This window comes from Homo sapiens, chromosome X (genome assembly GCF_000001405.40).
Source record: "Homo sapiens chromosome X, GRCh38.p14 Primary Assembly".
NCBI lineage: Eukaryota > Metazoa > Chordata > Mammalia > Primates > Hominidae > Homo > Homo sapiens.
Genome location: NC_000023.11, coordinates 70,421,871 through 70,439,329, shown reverse-complemented (window position 1 = coordinate 70,439,329; position 17,459 = coordinate 70,421,871). Strand labels below are relative to the sequence as shown.

General features: G+C 51.5%; 1 protein-coding gene and 1 long non-coding RNA gene across 6 annotated transcripts, besides 7 other annotated features; one reads left to right on the top strand and one right to left on the bottom strand.

The window, feature by feature from the left end:
* Positions 3,431-3,931: an enhancer, noted in NCBI's record as "H3K4me1 hESC enhancer chrX:69655249-69655749 (GRCh37/hg19 assembly coordinates)". NCBI's record gives its function as "activates a minimal SCP1, AML or CMV promoter by ChIP-STARR-seq in primed H9 embryonic stem cells {active_cell/tissue: H9 hESC(primed)}" and the evidence as "EXISTENCE:reporter gene assay evidence [ECO:0000049][PMID:30033119]".
* Positions 3,919-3,998: an enhancer, noted in NCBI's record as "active region_29733". NCBI's record gives its function as "activates an Ori minimal core promoter by ATAC-STARR-seq in GM12878 lymphoblastoid cells {active_cell/tissue: GM12878}" and the evidence as "EXISTENCE:reporter gene assay evidence [ECO:0000049][PMID:35858748]".
* Positions 4,019-4,118: an enhancer, noted in NCBI's record as "active region_29732". NCBI's record gives its function as "activates an Ori minimal core promoter by ATAC-STARR-seq in GM12878 lymphoblastoid cells {active_cell/tissue: GM12878}" and the evidence as "EXISTENCE:reporter gene assay evidence [ECO:0000049][PMID:35858748]".
* Positions 4,037-11,969, top strand: LOC105373244 (uncharacterized). Its single transcript, NR_171576.1, has 3 exons — positions 4,037-4,651; positions 5,082-5,475; positions 11,418-11,969. It is a non-coding gene; the product is annotated as an uncharacterized LOC105373244 (long non-coding RNA).
* Positions 4,579-4,828: a silencer, noted in NCBI's record as "silent region_20890". NCBI's record gives its function as "represses an Ori minimal core promoter by ATAC-STARR-seq in GM12878 lymphoblastoid cells {active_cell/tissue: GM12878}" and the evidence as "EXISTENCE:reporter gene assay evidence [ECO:0000049][PMID:35858748]".
* Positions 4,979-5,088: an enhancer, noted in NCBI's record as "active region_29731". NCBI's record gives its function as "activates an Ori minimal core promoter by ATAC-STARR-seq in GM12878 lymphoblastoid cells {active_cell/tissue: GM12878}" and the evidence as "EXISTENCE:reporter gene assay evidence [ECO:0000049][PMID:35858748]".
* GDPD2 (glycerophosphodiester phosphodiesterase domain containing 2) lies at positions 5,949-16,016 on the bottom strand. 5 transcript variants are annotated; one of them, NM_001171192.2, is made up of 17 exons: positions 15,948-16,016; positions 14,241-14,354; positions 13,873-13,976; positions 13,474-13,567; positions 13,219-13,278; positions 12,861-12,959; positions 12,589-12,682; positions 12,319-12,464; positions 12,111-12,193; positions 11,867-12,017; positions 9,616-9,837; positions 9,267-9,415; positions 8,204-8,356; positions 6,876-7,023; positions 6,669-6,751; positions 6,390-6,418; positions 5,949-6,296 (listed from the first exon to the last, which is right to left on the bottom strand). In NM_001171192.2, exons 2-17 carry the CDS (start codon positions 14,343-14,345, stop codon positions 6,244-6,246), a joined length of 1,773 nt encoding a protein of 590 aa, NP_001164663.1. In that variant the 5' UTR covers positions 14,346-14,354; positions 15,948-16,016; the 3' UTR covers positions 5,949-6,243. The 5 variants fall into 5 exon arrangements, with proteins under 5 accessions (NP_001164663.1, NP_060181.2, NP_001164664.1 ...); NM_017711.4 differs by lacking the exon at positions 8,204-8,356; NM_001171193.2 differs by lacking the exons at positions 8,204-8,356; positions 14,241-14,354.
* Positions 15,073-16,061: an enhancer, noted in NCBI's record as "H3K27ac-H3K4me1 hESC enhancer chrX:69643119-69644107 (GRCh37/hg19 assembly coordinates)". NCBI's record gives its function as "activates a minimal SCP1, AML or CMV promoter by ChIP-STARR-seq in primed H9 embryonic stem cells {active_cell/tissue: H9 hESC(primed)}" and the evidence as "EXISTENCE:reporter gene assay evidence [ECO:0000049][PMID:30033119]".
* Positions 16,062-17,050: an enhancer, noted in NCBI's record as "H3K27ac-H3K4me1 hESC enhancer chrX:69642130-69643118 (GRCh37/hg19 assembly coordinates)". NCBI's record gives its function as "activates a minimal SCP1, AML or CMV promoter by ChIP-STARR-seq in primed H9 embryonic stem cells {active_cell/tissue: H9 hESC(primed)}" and the evidence as "EXISTENCE:reporter gene assay evidence [ECO:0000049][PMID:30033119]".

Here is a 17,459-nt window from a genome sequence, read left to right as displayed (position 1 = left end):
CACCACCAGGCTTCTCTGACACTGACACCACCCAACAGGAAGGGGTTCTTGTTACCCCTCAGGGATGGAAGTTTAGGCTCTCTACTCAGCCTTCTCTGACACTACCCCAGAGAGTACGGGGGAGCCTGGCCAGAGTGAAAATCTGGGTTATCTACTTGGCCTTTGCTGGCTTGGGTGCAGCTGCAGTTTTTTTTTTTTTTTTTTTTTTCTGTGGTGTGTGGTTGCAGTGGTGGTTATTGTCTAAGAGTTTTCTGTCTGGCTAAATTCCATTTCCTGGTCTTATGGCTAGAGAGAATAGGCCAGTTACTGGTGTTTGCATTTTTTTTGTCTGTGCCCATTGGCATTTCCAGGCTGCTGGCTTCTCCAGTACCTGATCTGGAATATTTGATACAACGAGAAAACCCAGGGAACTCATCACCTCGAGTTCAGGTCACTGGGGTTCCTAGTTAGTCTGCCCCCTTCCTCTTCTTTCATAGTCTTCTTATGTTTGTCTTATATATAATGTCCAGAGTTTTAGCTGTACTTAGTGTGAGGAATAGGGAGAAGTGTGTCTACTCTAACTGGGTCCATAACTGGAAGTCTTCCATCTTTTTTAAAAAATTAACTACATCGAGTTTTTGAAGAGTGCCAGTCAATTGTTTTGGATTTGTCTTTTTCCTCATGGTGTCATTTATCTCGTTCCTTTATACAGTACTCTCCCTCTTATTCATGGTTTTAACTTGCCATAGTTTCAGTTACCCATGGTCAACTGCAGTCTGAAAATATTAAATGGAAAGTTCCGGAAATAAACAATTTATAAGTTTTAAATAGTATGCCGTTATGTAATGAAATCTTGTGCTGTCCTGCTCCATCCCGCCCAGGATGTGAATCATCCCTTTGTCCAGTGTATCCACACTGCATACACTACCCACCTATAAGTCACTTAGTAGCCATCTTGGTTATCACTTCAGAATAATATAGTATATATAGGGTTTGGTACTATCTGCTGTTTCAGGCATCCACTGGGGGTCTTGGAACATATTCCCCATGGATAAAGGAGGACTATTGTACCCTGTATTTACTGTAAACTGGAAATTAAAATAGAGGGAATCTTAAATAGGTTGGTCAGGGTAGGCTTCACTGAGAACGTGGCATTTCAGCAAAGAATTGAGGGAGGTGAGGAAGTGAGCCATGCAGGGGGAAGCCAGTGCAAAGGTCCTGGTAAGGAGTGCAAAGGTCCTGGTAAGGAGTGCATCCGACTTGCTCAAGGAACAGCAAGGAGAATCAAGTGGCTTTAACAGAGTAAGGGAGGGGAGAACGCCAGGAGACGAGATCAGAGATTGAATAAGGGACTAGATTGTGTAGGACCTTGTAGACCACTGAAAAGATTTTGGCTTTCCTCTCAGAGAGATGGAGTGCCATTGGAGGGTTTCGTGCAGAGAACTGGCATGACGTGACTTGGGTTTAGCAGGATTGGTATAGCTTCTTTGCAGAGAATAGGCCACAGGGGCGAGGGTGGAAGCAGTGAGACTAGTCAGGCAGCTGCTGAAGTGATCCAGCTGAGAGGTGGTTGTGCCTTGGACCAGTGTGGTAGCACCAGAGATGATAAGTGGTTGGATTCTGGGTGTATTTGGAAGGGAGAGCTGACAGGATTTGCTGACAGATTGGATACAAGGTGTGGTTCCAAGGATTTTTTGCCAGGACAACTGGAAATGTGAAATTGCCATCAACTGAGATGAGGACAGTTTTAGGAGGGGTCATTTTTGGGGGAAAAGGTCAGCTGTTCAGAAACGAACATGTTGAGTTTGGGATGTTTGTTAGATGTCCAATTGGAGATGAACACAGGCCCTGCCACCAAGGTGCTCAAAGTGAAAGAAATGGAAATATGGAAGCAGATCATTACCATACCTGTGAAAAGTGGTATTTCAGGAGGGTGTACAGAAAAGCAAGTTATCAGTTCTGCTTGTTGGGGGGAAGGGGACTTAAGAAAAGTTTCACAAAGCAGATGATATTTTCAGTTTTGTCCCAAAGGGTGACTGGGCGTTCATTAGACAGAAAAAAGAAATGTATTGTTTTCTGTACTCCTAGACTTGGCACACAGTGATTGCTCAATCAGACCCAATCCAGTCACTATTTTTGTGAGTCTGGACATTACTTAACCTCTCTGAGACTTGGTATTGTAATCTGTGAAAAGGAAATAATCACAGTGTTCTTGTGAGGGTTAAATGTAGGACACTTAGCACACCACGTGGTACATAGTGGGTTAGTGTTAATTATGGTCATATGAATGAATGAATATCTTCCTTAATGACCAAATCTAGGCTAGGCTGGTAACCCAGGAGCCTAGTCTTTTATATGCTTAACAGTTTGTCAATAGAGATTGCTAGACTCCTTTCAACCTCTGAACTGCTCTGATTGAAAAATAAGCATTGATAAGCCTCGACTGAATGGAGAGGGTCAAACTACCCTCCTCAGGCCCCTTCCTTACCCCCTTTTTTGCCCTATCCCCTTTAACAGGTTCCTTCCTCCCTTCCTCCCACCCTCTCTCTCTTCATTTTTAATGATTGTGAGCAAAATCCCTTCAGACTCATAGTGGGCTTCTCCTCATTCCATAGGCTCCCTGCCGCTCAGACCGGACTGGGTTGACAAGGCTGGGAGGAGGTCAGCCACACTGAGACACTGTGACACTTAACTAGGGAACCTCCCTCCCAACTGCTAGGGCTCCAGCCTGAGACCCCAGGGAGACAGTCGCCCCCTACGGACCAAAAGCGCCCCACACCGCTGCAAGCAGCTCTGGTTGCTAGGCAACCAGGCGATGGAGGACTTCAGGAACGGATTTTCAAGCAGAGAGACCATTTATCTCCCCTTCCACCGCCACTCCGGCTCCTTCAGCAAGTAGACGGGGTTGGGACCGCGCGGTCTGCTGCTGTCTGTCTGATAAGCTGGGCTCATTCTTGAAAATAGAGCTTCACTGAGTGACCTCCATATTGTGCGTGGTGAAACGATCACTCTTGCCCCAAATGTGGTTTCATCTGGGGGCTGGAGACTCGGGTCGATGAAGGTGGAAGTTTCTGATTTGCAAGGAGGGGAGGAGCATTGTTGTGGGTGTGCACCCTTAGTCAATGGGAATTCTAGAAAATTGAGCTTGCGTGGGAATAATTTTGATCAGTCCATCAAGATTTCCTCACGATTCCCAATGTATACATTAGGAAACTCTTACGTTAGCCCATTAAAATAAAAAGGTCAATGGGAATGACAATATATAAAGGATCATTCATACCTCATTGGGGACAAGCAGTGGCTTTCATGAATACGGTTTCTCTCCAGACAAGGGAGAGATCATGAGGTCTGTAAATCCCTGTGAGTTGGGACAGAGCTCAACAAAATGGAAAGAAATAAAAAGAATGGCGGGGTTGGGGGTGTGATAAGCACAGAATCTGGCAGCTTCTGAGCTCTGTGTCTGGTTTGGGGATCCCCAGCTCTGTGCCCCCTGTGTTAGGACCATGCTGAAGCACTCCATCCTTATGAAGGCTGTGGGGGACCAGAAATCCATAGCTTTTCCTTCTAGTAACCTAGCATTCTGGCCCAGGAGTGGGTCCAGGCAGGCCAAGGCCATGACCAAAACAATCTTTCCACTTGGGACGCATCTCTGCCTTCTCGGCTAGTACAACAGAAGCTTGATTGTGGCAGAGCCCCAAGCCATGGCGAGCTTAGGGGAGAGCTGTGCCCAGGAGTCTCCTCGTGGGGTTTCCCTCAAGAGTTCCAAGGTAGAGATACCAGGGTGAGGTAACTAGCATCCAGACAGCATCTGGCCCAGCCACTGCTCAGTCCACATCTCCACAGGGCATAGTGGCAGGGGACGCTTCTTGCTCTCTGTGTTTCCAAACTGAACTGGGTCGGGGCTGTGCTCCTGCTCTATTAATAGCCCCCTAGCCCAGCCTGCTAGCCCCAAACCCGGATGCCAGGAGCTGTGAGTCAGCAGCTAAAAATAACGAAGAGCAACTACATCCGAACCCCAATGAGCAGCTCCCCCGGGTCCTCCGCCCTTAAGTTTTTGTCAGTGTCAGTCTCCAGCCCAGGGCCCAGGGCCTATAGGTTAAACCGCTTTAGCTGTCCAGTTCTCCTGGGAAGAGAGTGAGGATTTCCGGTGGCAGGCTCAAGGCTGCGTACCCAAGGCTAGGGGCTAGGAGAAAGGGGTCAGAGGCTGGCGCTGGGTTGGGGGGCCAGACGCTGGGTTTAGAGGGCCGCAGCTGAGAGTGTGAGAGCTGAGAGGTTGGGGCTGCAGGGATGGAGTTGCTGGAGGTCTTCAGGGTGAGGTTGGGAGGTGAGGGGAGGAAGAGACTGGGCGATTGGGAAGGGACAGAAAAGTAGGGATGGGGGAGGAGGTACGTGCTGAGAGGTGACAGCCCGGCAGTACCGGGCAGACTGGGGGCCCTAGAGCTAAGGCTGGTAGCCAGCCTGAAAGAGAGGGGATGGATCGGGAACCAGGAAAAGTAAGGAAATGCTGCTCGAAAAGGCAGAGTGTAGGAGAGACCTGCCCGGTACACAGCGGCGTGGACTCCCAGGAAGACCAGGACCAGGACCGGATTGCGGCGTTCGCTCTCCGCGCGCCTCCAGCCTCCCCGTGCGTCGCATGCTGGCACCCCCGCCCACCGCGCCAGCTGCAGGTCAGGTACGTGGGCGCGGCCGGCCTCCGGAGCCGGAGTGTGCAGGGATGCGCACGGAGAGGGCGGGGCGGCCAGAAAGGAAAGGGGTGGGCCCGGGAGAAGGGGGCGGGAACACGGATTCAAACTCGCCTGCGTCCAGCCAGATACCGGAAATGGCCGGGGACTCACTGGGAATTGTAGTTCCCGCGGCTGCCCGGCAACCGAGGGTGGGGGGCGGGTCTTGTCCCGAGGATGCCAGTGCTGCCCCAGGTCCCAGTCTGGCGAGAGAGGAGGAACCGAGAACCCGACCTCCCTACCTGGCCGACTCCTTAGTTCTACTTCCCTCCGTGTGGAGATACGAACTAGGTCGAATGTGGGTGTGGCGGAAGACTGTGGGGTCACCACAGAGCCCCTCTTGTCCCCATTTTTGGCTTAGCCCCTCCCTTCTTCTACTAGACTCTTCATCCTCCGTCAGCTCCGCACTGGCCACCTTAGCTGCGGAGCCCAGGGACTCCCGAGCCGCAAACACATTGGGGAACTTGCTCCTCCAAGGGAAGGCTGGGCCGGAAATTGGACCCTGCGCGCAGCCCAGAGGAGCGAAAACTTGTGGAAATCGGACCTTGCCCTCGGAGTCCTGAGTCAAGGACACGAGTCCCCAAGCGGCACGGAAAACAGGTGGCATTCAGCAAATACGTCACGGCGACGACGGATGCGGCCCTCCTCTTGGGGCGGCCACAAGGTGGAGCTACAGTGCAACCCTGCACCGCGCGCCCGGCCTCCGGACGCCCCCGAGGTGGCTGCTCTCCTGCGGGCCTCCCGCGAGCCTCCCGCGAGTCCTTCATTGCCGCAGGTGATTCTCCTCCCACCTCCAACCCACCTCCTCCCATCTCCCCCTGATGGCCCCTCAAGGTCGTGTCCCATCCAACCGTAGATGGAAGGTGCCTCCTTTCCCCAGCCCCTGGGCCGAAAAGATTAGGCTGTGACCAAATGGAGATTACATTCGTTGAGTAACAGATTAAGACAAGATACAGGAACCAACCTGCCTTGAAGAAAAGGCTGCGCACAGCAAAAAGCCACCTGTAAGCACAGAATTACACGGCTAGACGGGCTCTTCAGCTCCTAGCCTCTAGGCAGGAAAACAGCTAAGCTGCAAGGGTCGAGGAAGACAGTACATCGTGGAGTGGCGATGGTGTCTCTATCATCTTACAGTTCTCCGGAAAAGACCATTTCGTTATCTCCTTCAGTCCCTCTTCCAAGCTATCCCACCCCGACACACCCTGTGCCTTCTATGCAAGAACACGTGCACACAAGTCTGAGACATTATCCGAGCAATCTCCCTTTTACTTCCTCTGTTCTAGTTTCATTTGAGGAGAAACTTCTCATTACTCACTCTCTTCCCAAACATCTCAGGTCAAAACCCCAAAGGGAGCAGATTCCATAGCAGCTTAGGGAATGCCCATCACCTGGGCAGAGGGCCCTCATGGTTCAAAACCTCCTGTTGGCAAAGCTCCCCCCACTTGCAACCCACCACCCCTGAAGCATTCCACTTAAGCCACTCTCCAACCCTTGCTGTTTGGGCAATGTAGACTGGCTTGGGTGGGGAAGCAGGGCAGGGCATTCACTCCATCATGAAATTGTTGATCCTTGTCAGCAGCACTGCTGTTTCTAAGCCTGGGGAGGAGGGGGAGGGTGGGTCATCTAGGGAGTTAAGCAAGGGGAAAGCTACAGGAGGAGAAACATGAGGTGAGGGGAGAAAGTTCTTACCAGTTTTCCCTCTCTTCTTAACAAATCTTCTGTGGGGAGAAAAGCTTCCCATTATGAGTTCAGCTAGCTTCAAGCAGGCCCTTCCAGCCCCCACACCTGCTCCCCCCAACTGCCTTTCCTACATTCAAGCCAATTTGATAGTATAAGGAAGGGCCTAAGAATCTCAAAGGAACTAAAGAGACCCCAAGCCTTGGGCAGCATATGTGAGTCTGAAGCAGCCTCATCACCAGGGCCCTGGAGAAAGTAAGGACCCAGAAAGCTGAGGCACAAAGCACTCACCTTTGGAGGAGGAAGGTCCACAAAAGCAGCATGGTGGAAACACAATTGGTAATGACCCATATGATTAGGTAGGTTTGAGGGGTCTGTGAAAATAGGAAAAGGCCCCAAGGGTAGAATGTCAGGGGAAATAAGTAAGGAAGAGAGGGACAGGGTTAAGGAAAACCAGGGATGGGAGAAGAGGAGAGGTGACAGTCCCAGAGCCCTTACAATAAGCCAGATAGGGTAACGCATCTGCTGCAGCAGCTGGCAGTCGTTGGTGGTGACCGAATCCACCCCTGCACACCAAAGCAGAGAGAAGAGCCAGGGCTTGTTCACTACAAATAGGTTCACCGAGACATTATCCTTATGCAATGCCCTGTGAAGGTGGGAAAGAAAATAGGGAATGTCCAGAATCATGGTGCACAGGACATGGGAGGCAGCCCCCTGCCTGTGCTTGAATCTACAGTGCCACTGCCAAGGAGGTATCAGCTCTGCCTTTCCATAGCAGCCCCTGACCAACAATGATTTTCCTTTCATAGCTGAACTCTGTCTTCTGGTGGATTCCACCCATGGGTCCTAGCTTTGCTATCTGGGGCCACACAATGTGTCTCTCCCCTGGGTCCTGAGCAGAGGCCCTGTCTCCCTGAGCCTTCTCTTCTCTAGGCCCCACAGCCCCAGCTCCTTCAGCCATTACTCTTATCATTTCCTTCCCTGTACAAGCCTCTCTAATATGATATATTCCAATTTATCAATGTTCCTTTGAAAATATGGGGCCCGTCTCTGAAAATAATATCCCAGATGGGCTTGGACCAGCCTTTTTTTTTTTGAGACAGGATCTTGCTCTGGAGTGCAGTGGCAGTCTTGGCTCACTGCAGCTTGACCTCCTAGGCTCAGCCTCCAGTGTAGCTGGGACTATAGGTGGGCACCACCATGTTCAGCTGGTTTTTATTTTATTTTATTTTATAGAGACGGGGTTTTGCTATGTTGCCCAGGCTAGTCTTGAACTCCTAGGCTCAAGTGAACCTCCTGCCTTGGCCTCCCAAAGTGCTGGGATTACAGGTGGGAGCCACCATGCCCAGCCAGCTTGGGTCACCTTTGAATAGAGCAAAACTATCTCCTCCTGTCCTCTGGGCACTATGCCTGTATTCAGGTAGTCCAGAGTCAGGTTAGCCTTCGGCAATGTTACATCCCACTGATGACTCACTAGGTATACTGTTCAATGAAAGCCCTGGTCTTTTTCACACATGTTCCTGTTGATGCCAGTGTCTCCTCTCTGGTCTTTGTGCAACTGAAATTCTTTTGGGCCCCAAATAGAGGTCTTTCCATCTATCCCTGGTGCATTTCATCTTGCTAGATTTGGCCTATCTTTTTACAGCACCTAGACCTTTCAGGGCCTCGATTCCATCATCAGTGTATTCAATACCAATTCACATCTTTTGGAAACATGATCAGCAGTTGATTAGCAGCTGATATTGACCAGGACAAGACTAAGGTGAGAACCAAACCCTATGTCATGTCTTCCTCTTTGGTGATAACTCGGGGAAATAAATACTTACATAGCTAGGTGAGATAGCTCATGCTTATAACCGGGAGGCTGAGGGGGGCAGTGGCTCAGGCCTGTAATCCCAGCACTTTGGGAGGCCGAGGCAGGAAGATTGCTTGAGGCCAGTAGTTTGAGACCAGCCTGGGCAGGTAGTAGGAACCTGTCTCTAAAAAAAAAAAAAAAAAAATAGCCTTGCATAGTGGTGTGTGCCTATAGTCCTAGCTACTCAGGATCACTTGAGCCCAGGAGTTCAAAGCTGCAGTGAGCTCTGATCAGGCCACTGCACTACAGGCTTGGTGACAGAGTGAGACTCTATCTCTAAAAAAAATTTTTTTAATTAAAATTCAAATTAAAAAAAGAAATATGTATGATAACTGGGCTATCATTCAGTTCACATTTTTCTATCTGAACACAAGGACCTTATAAGAGGCTTTAGCAACCAGATGCTTTGAAGTCTGTCATGGTTCAGCTGGGTCAGCTTCTGGGGCTCAGCTCACATCTGGGACTCTCCCTGATTCACGCTCTCTTACCCTGATGTCTGTTGTGGAATAAAATCCTTCCCGTGGCCTACAAGGTCCTACCCAATTTGGCCCCTGCCTGCTTCTCTAGCTTCCCCTTCCCCTTGCTCATTAGACTGCTGTTCCTGTTCTGCAGCTCATAGTTAGCTCCCTGTGACCATTCAGGTCTCAGCTTAGATATCACCTCTTTAACCAGCCTTCCTAATGTGGGTGCACCCACCTCCCTGCCCCAGCCCATCACTCCCAAACCTAACCACTCTTCTACATCTCTCTGTTTTGTCTTCATAACACTTTTTCACTTTTCAATATGCATGTATTTTGTTAAGTGGTTTATTCTGTTTTCTTCAGTAGTACATGTATTCCACAAAAGCAGGAACCTTGTCTGTCTTATCTGTGTTGTTTCCCCAAAGCCTGCAATACTACCTGATACATGGCAAGTGTTCTGTAAATACTTTTTGTGTGAGTGAATGAATCAAGAGGCTTTGCTCTCCCTGAACTGGTTCTTCCCTGCCATTAAGCCTCATGTGATCCCCTTGGTTCCTTTCCTCTAGCACTCACTTGATATCCAATAGTGGCAGATCTTGATAGGGGAGGTTAAGAAACTGGGGCCTCTCCGTTCTGTTGCCTCCCTGACGTCCATATATCTGGCGCATTCCAGGTGCCCGTCGTTGGACATTAGCCCGATCTTCATCTGGTAGCCAAAAGACCTGTGGTTCAGGAAGGATGGGTGTGAAGCTGGGGAAGACCTAGGGATTCCAAGGGCAGGGACAGGGGCAAACAGTTTTGACCACAGAATGGGGTATGTGAGCTGGGGCAGGGCCCTGGGGGTAGGGGCAGCCTCAAAATCATCCTCATCATCATGGCCTAGGGAAGGCAGGGTGGGGAGAGGGGGTCCTGGCAACATCACCATGGCTTGGGGCACCCTTGCATTCAGCACAGTCTCCAATGTCTGGATCACAAAAGTGTCATAGTATGTGTGGTTCTGTGGGGGTCGGCGCAAGTCGAACATGATGGAAAGGTTGAGGGCTGCAGCTTCCTCCAATAGCTCTTCTAATGCTGGTACCGTCTGACTCTCAGCCTCTTTCTGATCAGGGCCTGCCAGCGGTTTGGCCCCCCAGAAGGGTCGCCTCTATAAGAAAGAACAATTATTTCAAGACCAGAAGAGGCTTCCAGGCCTTGCCCCCATCCTCACTATCTTCACTCATATCTTCCACTTGGTGTCCAGCTTCTTTCCACCTCTGAGCCAGGGCCTTTTTCCAAACTGTGGCCTTCTTCCAGACCGTCTACCATCTTACTCTGTGACCTCAACCTCCTACCCTTCCAGTTTCCTAACTTTCTCTCTCCCACTACACCTTCTCTTTGGTCTCAAGGAGACCTCTGCAATCTTGACCCTTTGGTTTCTTCCCAGTTCATCAGCCCCTTTCTAGCTGCACCTACATCCCTTACCCATGGTCCATCCACAGCTTGAACTACTTTTCCATAGCACTCTCAGCTCCCTTTCTGTCCCACTTGCCCTACAACTCCCAGACTCTGATTCAATTCTACAATTGTCTGCCTCCTCCACCCCTAGAACTGGGGGCTGAGCGCTGCCATGGGCAGAGTACACAATGTGGGCTGTTGGCACTGCAGTCCTTATTTTTCGCTCTCAGCGCTGCTTAACAATCCTTTTACTTGCTCTTGATTTGCTCCCTCTCCCATTCCCCCTAGTGTTATTCCAAGCCTCTGCTACTCTCCTCTCCTTATTCTCAATGAATGACCTCACTTCCTAATTGCTGACATGGATAAAGCTAGCTATCTAACACTTATTAAGTACTTACTATGTGCCAGGCAGTGTTCTAAGTACTTTATGTGCATTGACTGATTTAATCCTCCCAATAACCCTACAAGGTAGGTACTGTTATTATTCCCATTGTACAAATGAGAAAATTGAGGCACAGAGAGACTAAGAAATCCTGCCTCGGGTCACACAGCCAGTAAGTGGTATAGCCAGGGTTTAAACCCAGACATCCTTTGCTGTTAATCACTCTGATCTGATATGATGTAAAGAGTTAAATGGAAAAGAAGCAAATTGCAAAAGAGTCTGTGTAATGATTCTGTCTGTGCAAAATAGAGAGAGAGAGAGAGAGTTTGTGTATGCAGATGCACCTTGACTTATGATGGAGTTGTGTCTTGATAAACCCATTTTAAATTGAAAAGATTGAAAATCAAAAATGCATTTAATATACCTAACCTACTGAATATCCTAGCTTAACCTAGCCTGCCTTAAGTGTGCTCAGAACTTACATTAGCCTACAGTTAGGCAAAAATCATCTAACACAAAGCCTATTTTATAATGAAGTATTGAATATCTCATGTGATGTATTGAATATTGTACTGAAAATGAAAAACAATTGTTGTATGGGTACTCTTAAGTATAGTTTCTACTGAATGTATATCAATCTCAAATCATCATAAAGTAAAAAAATCATTAAGTGGAACCTCATAAGTCGGGGACTGTGTGAGTGTGTGTGTGTGTGTGTGTGTGTGTGTATCCAACTGTTAACAGTGAATATTTCAGAGGGACTGGATTATGGGAGACTTTGATTTCTATGTTATTTCTTATTTCTCTGATGTTTTACTTTTTACAATGAACATGTATTACTTTTACAATCAGGGGAAGAGGAACTGAAAAAATTCAATATCCTTTTAAATATTTTGTACCACTTACAGGATTGAAGTTGACACTTCTGGGCCAGGCATTCGGAGCTCTTCAAGGCCAAGCCTCTGCTCCCTACCACTCCCATGAATTGTCTCTCTCAGTTACATTCAGCCACATTTTATTCCTGGAAACACCCTTTTTCAGACTTCTGGGCTTTACGTGTCCTCTTCCCTCTGAAGGAGTTCCTGTTCCCTGCTTTGTGCATCTTAGAAGAAGACTTTCATCCTCTCCTGTATGAATCCACTCCTGATTCTCTCCCAGGCAGGAAAATGTTTTTATTGCTCTGGGTTTCCTGAATCGTCTGCTGCCTAGGCTCTCTACTAGGTGGAAGTGACTTGAGAGCACAGACTATGTTCTTATTGCCTAGCACAGGGCTGAGCAAATGCTTATCAACAGAATGAACTCTGCCCTCTCTGAGTGTCCCTGCAGATGGCTGCCTCTTTGCAGAGGCTGTCCTCACCTCTAGGAACCAGGATCCAGCATTGAGTCTCTTCAGTTCAGTCCAGGAGAAGTCACTGCTGTGGGCTGTGATTCGGGTTGGGAATACAGAGGCTACATTCGTGGTCCTGCTGAGGTGCTCATCATGCATGAGGAAGGGGACCCCATCGGAGCTGAGGGCACAAGGGGTGTCAGAGGGCCAAGCTCTGGGGCTGGTCATCATGTCCTTCAGCCCCCCAGATCCCCTAAGCCCCAGCTTCCCTCACCTGACCATCACATCAGTCTCAAACACAGTAGCTCCGCATTCAGCTGTCTTCCGCAAGGACATCAGGGTGTTCTCGGGAGCCAGCTGGGAAAGGGAATAGGTGATGAGGTAGCAGGGAAGGGTGGGAGACTGGGAACCCACAGGCCTGGTCGCTATGGTGCAAACGAGCAGACCCTCCCCACCCTCCCAGCATTCTGTCCAACACTCACCATGGGGGCCCCTCGGTGTCCCACCAGCCCAGGCTTGGGTGGTAAGTCTCTGGGTTCCATGATGCAGGGTGAGGAGATGCATAGGGGGGCCAAGTAGATGACCAGGACAACTCCAAAAAATAGGAGCAGTAGCAGAATCTTGGGACCTGTGGGGAGTGGGGGACAGGCTTTCAAGAATGGGCAAGGGGAGAGCTCTGGGGATGGAAGGCAGAGTGCAGGTGGCAGAGCATGAGTGGCCAGCAAGGGTGAGTGGGGCAGCAGCGTTGGCACCTCTTCGGTGGATACGGTAGAAGGTATCAGCCACAGGCCAGGCCAGGAGGGCAATTCCAGCGGCTGCTCCAATATGAAGGAATGGGGCTGTGGCCTGTGGACAAGAGCTGGTGAGGTGGGCTCTTCTCCAGTGCCCCTCCCCGCTTTCCTCTTAGGGCCTGACTGCTGGAGTTCAGAGCTACCTGCAGTCTTGGGGGAACAGGAGCGAGATATGTTCTAGGGTTGGCTGCAAGCCAAGGCTCCCGTCTAGACACTGGAGGTTGGCCACTCACCTGCAGTGACACACGCAAGCTATGCCACTCCTGCTGCCATTGGATGTCCAGTCCCACAAGGCCAGCCGCCACAAGCAGCATAATGAGGAGCAGCAGCACCTGGGGGGCCAGGGATGAATGAGGCCTCTTGGTCAATTTGGGCTCATGGTTGGTGAGCTGCTCCTTCACTCTATAGAGATGGGACCCGACCCTTCCCTTCCCCTGACACATCTGCTTTCCTCCTTTCACTCAACACTTACTGGGCTTCAGGTCCTGGGCTTGACCCCCCGGGGGTATAAAAGTGAGGTCCTCAGCAAATAGCCAGCCAAGTGCTGAGCCCAGTGGCCCCCTCTCCCATGCACTCCCATCCCTACTGTACCTTGTGGAGGCTGTGCAGATGCAGGGGCTGTCTACAAAGCCGCAGGAGCAGGGCCAGGACCTAGAGGAAGAGAGCAGTGGGACTTATGGGGTGCCAAGAGGGGAGCAAGGTTACTGAGGTGGGCTTCCCAGGCTGGTACTTCCCTCCTACCCAAGAATTAGCCCCCTCCCTCAGTGGCCAGGATGAGAATAGGGAGCTAAAACTAAGCAGGAAGGAAGGCTGAGGTGGGGTTAGGCCAGCGGCCTCCGGACCCACCAATAGCAAGGATGCATATGTGACCAGTAGAGAGATGACCAGCAGGAATGCCAGGGACCAGTCCATCCAGTGTCCCCAGCGGCGGAAGAGGAATCTGTGGGAGGGGAGAGGGAGGTGTCCAAGTGGGGGAAGGGGTGTCAATAGTGGCCTGAGGGGAGGTGGGGTGGGTGGATCCAGGAAGACTAGAAGGGAGTGAGGAGAAAGCCCCTCGTGGCCAGGGGCTCCAAGGATTGAGGAGATTTTGTGGAGGGATTTTCTAAGGAGATTGGGTAGCAGCAGAGCTGGGTTTGAGCAGCTGGGCAGGGCTGGGGGATGACTGACAGTGGGCCACCCCCGGGTCCCAGGGTGGGGAGCAGGTTGACAGGTATGCTGGGGAAGCAGGGGGAATCCATGACACACTCATTGAAGTTGTGCAGGTCATTGAGAAGGACGAGCCCGATGTACAGCCAGCTCAGGGAAAGGAGGAAGGTGAGGAAGAGCAGGCCAAACCAGATACAGTCGCACTGCAAAGGGGCAGGAGAGAAACTCACAACCAATACCTACTTCAAACTCAGAGTCCCCAACGGGTGGCAGCTAAAGGGAGCTGCCTGCCCCGTGTTGGGCTGCTCTGCTCGGGGGGCAGCTCTTTCCATATTTGAGGGAGATTTTCTTCCTGGGAGAGAGAGCCCCTTCCCCCAAGCTGTCTATGAGCACAATTGGCCTCCTTATCCCCTCCAGTGAGCCTCTGCCTTCTGACTTCCAGCCTCCCCCCTCCATCCCTACTCCACCTTGCTGGTTTGCATCCTCTCTCTGGGGCATTTCCTCCAGTGGCAGCTATACAGGCAGTGGAGGCAGCGGGCCCAGACGGAGCAGCAGCCGGGGGACTCGGCCATGGTGAAGGCCTGGGGGAAGGGACACTCGACCATCAGGGACCCTGGCAGAGGGCAGATCCCAGTCTCCCTCCTAGTGTATCTGAGGAGCCCGGGGGAGAGGCAGAGGCCTGGGCCGCTGCTCAGCAACGGAGGTCACGGGGCAGGCCCAGAGTGCCAGAGTGGATGAGGCGAGCAGCCCCAGCTGCAAGCCTGGCAATGGGAGACAGTCTCCAGAGCCTTCGTTTCCCTTTAATCTTGTTACCTGGAGAGTCAGTGGGACACCCAAGAGGTCCAGCCTCTTTTCGGGCAGGATTCATATCCACTCTCTCCAGCTCCTCCCCATTTAACAGCACACACCTCTGGGGATGGAGTGCTTGCCCTGGGGGTAAGAACTCAAGAGAAACTGCCCAGGGTGGGACAAACTCAGTTCAGCAAGTTAAAGCAGGTTTGGCCAAGCTGGAGGCAACCCCATGTTGAATTGCTTTCCAGCCCAGGAAGCAGGAGTAACCTGAAGCAAAGGTTACAGTTCTGACCTGGGGCTAAGGAAGGCCCAGCTAGTTGGCCAGTTGCTATGGTTATAGAGATTATTCAGATCACAAATCCCTGAAAGATTCTCTGTGTCCACCTCTCAGGGGACAAAGGGCACTGCCAAAAAGAGAAAGACTTGAGGTGAACATGTTGCCTGGGTCACTCCCAGTCTTCTAAAGGAATCTTTGGATTTTCAAAATACAGAGCCTCCCCTCAAGTCCTGCCCTTTCCTGCCCAGTCATCCCCCAACCCCAACCAGAAGCCCAGACTCGCCTTTAGGAGCCCCACCCTCTAAGTTAGCTTTGGTGAAAGTACAACAAACGCAGGGCAAAGGTGTGTATGCGGGGTGTGGTTGTCTTGGGGCAGGGGACCCCTGTACCTTATGCTTCTGGGTTTGGCTGACTGAGCTGATCCCCAGACTTGGCTGGGTACGTGACTGATTCTACGCGAGACGGTATGTGATTTGTGTCAGCATTTGCACGCGACAGCACAACTGGCTGTCGGTACAATATGATTTTAGGTGACTTTGAGTATGTAAAGGAGCCCCTGGATACACCCAAAGTGTGTGAGCATGTGTGCGTGCGGGCTGAGGGACAGGACCTCTTGTCCTCAGAGCTCTCCCGAGGCTATGGAGTCTTAGAGGGGTGCACAGTGGGTGGGTCCGGTAAGCAGGAAGGTGTGGCTGCTTCTGAACTGCCCTCTTTATGCTGCCTTGGGAAAGGAGGGTTAGGGTAGGGGTGAGGAGCTGGAGCTGGGGGAAGGAAACCCCTCCCCTCTACGAGACCCTTCCCGGTAAAAAGCCAACCCAAAGGGAAGCCCTTGCCTCTGCCCATCTTGGAGCTGGTTTGATAGCCTGCTCTAAGCTCTTGCCTCCCCTGGGGTCCTACCCCTGCACCCCAGACACTGCCTTCCAGAGTCCCCTCCCTTCAGGAGCTGCCTGTAGGATGGGATCAGGGTCTGAGCAGCCTGAAAACCCCAAGTAGGGTTGCTGACAGGGGTGCCATTCAATCCCCCGGCCCAATCCCAGTGGGATGGAGCTGGTCTCTGCTCCACAGCTCCCACCTGTAGCCCCCCAGCCTTCCCGAACCCTCACACCTTTGCTCAGCGGCAGCTCCGCTCCGCTCTCCTCTCTGCACTGCTTCCCAGCTCCTCTCCGAGTGGTCTGCCTCCTCCCTTTTTCAGTCCTCGGTTCAGCCCTATGAGTCAAACAGGTGGCACTGTTGCCACCTACAGGAGGCTGTGTGGGTCCTCTCCCAAGGCCTGCAGCTGCTCTGTGGCCTGGGCACAGCCCGGGTGGGAAGATGGGAGGGAGGAAGCGGGAGGGAGAGCAAATCTGCTTCTTTACTCGCTGGCGGTCAGGGGGCTTGGGGTGAGGAATTCCTTTGTGCAGGCTTTCCCATCCCTCTGTCCCTCCTCCTGTTCCCCTCCCAGTCACTGCCGGGGCTTTGTCCTGGCTCAGGGAGGCGAGGGCTGAGGGCACAGGCTGGCGGGAAGCTGGTGTGTGTGGGGGGGGGAGGTGACCACACAACTTTGCAACTTGGCAGTGAGGAGAAGAGGCCCAGCCAGCCCACTGGAAAGGCGTGTGTGTGTGTGTGTGTGTGCGTGTGTGTAAGCCTAACATCAAGTCTCAAGCTCCCTGGAAATACAGCCTTGATTCATTAGGCTCCCTCCCCTATTGAGCTCCTACTTCTAATTCAGCAAGGTGCATGTATAAGAAGCTGCAGCCTGGCGCGGTGTCTTACACCTGTAACCCCAACACTTTGGGAGGCCGAGGCGGGTGGATCACCTGAGGTCAGGAGTTCAAGACCAGCCTGGCCAACATGGTGAAACCCTGTCTCTACAAAAAATACAAAAATTAGCCAGGCATGATGGTGTGCACCTACCAAAGACTAGGTAGTTGCATGGGACATCTCACAAGGCCAGGTTTAAAGCAAAGACAAGCCTTGGTCATTTGTCCCAGCTACTTGGGAGGCTGATGTGGGAGGATTGCTTGAGCCCAGGACGTCGAGGCTGCAGTGAGTTGAGATTGTGCTACTGTGCTCCAGCCTGGGCAACAGAAGCTGCAAGCTACTTCCTGAACTCTGGATAGCAAGTTGCCGTTTCTGGACCAGAGGTCCCCATGGGCCTTGTGGATCCTGGGTGACACTAGCAGTTCTCCCACCTTCCCTCATCACCCCAGACAGGAGATGCTCATTCAGGACTTGTGTCATTTCTGCTGCCTTGTCCCTAAGGCATATGAGTCTCTTTCCAAGAATCTTTTGAGGAGTGTAGAGTATATTGGGGTCACAGGCTTTTGGAAGATGAACACATAGAAAAGATGCTGTTACTATAGCATCAGCATCAGCAGGGAAGGGCTGGCTAGCACACTATAGTTTGCTTAGTGCTAAAGCACAGGGGTCTGGGTGGGATGGGGGCCAGGGGCTGGCTTGGTTGACCTCTCCCTCTACATTACGCCTGATGTGGTGACTCGAGGTCTGGGGGCTATTAGTGCAGTGTTGGTGGGAAAGGATGTTTTCTCTGGGGATAAGCCTGCTTACCCCTCCCCCAACACACACTGGATTTCAAACAGTGAGAAGGAAGACTGGCTCTCTTATGCCAAGAGCTGGC

Coding starts and splice junctions, on each gene's coding strand:
- GDPD2 (NM_001171192.2), bottom strand. CDS start 14,345: ATGGCCGAGTCCCCCGGCTGCTGCTCCGTCTGGGCCCGCTGCCTCCAC. Junction 7,024..8,203: donor GAGCTATCTCACCTAGCTAT/GTAAGTATTTAT, acceptor CCACCTTCACAG/GGCATTGCATAAGGATAATG. Junction 6,752..6,875: donor GTTACCCTATCTGGCTTATT/GTAAGGGCTCTG, acceptor CTATTTTCACAG/ACCCCTCAAACCTACCTAAT.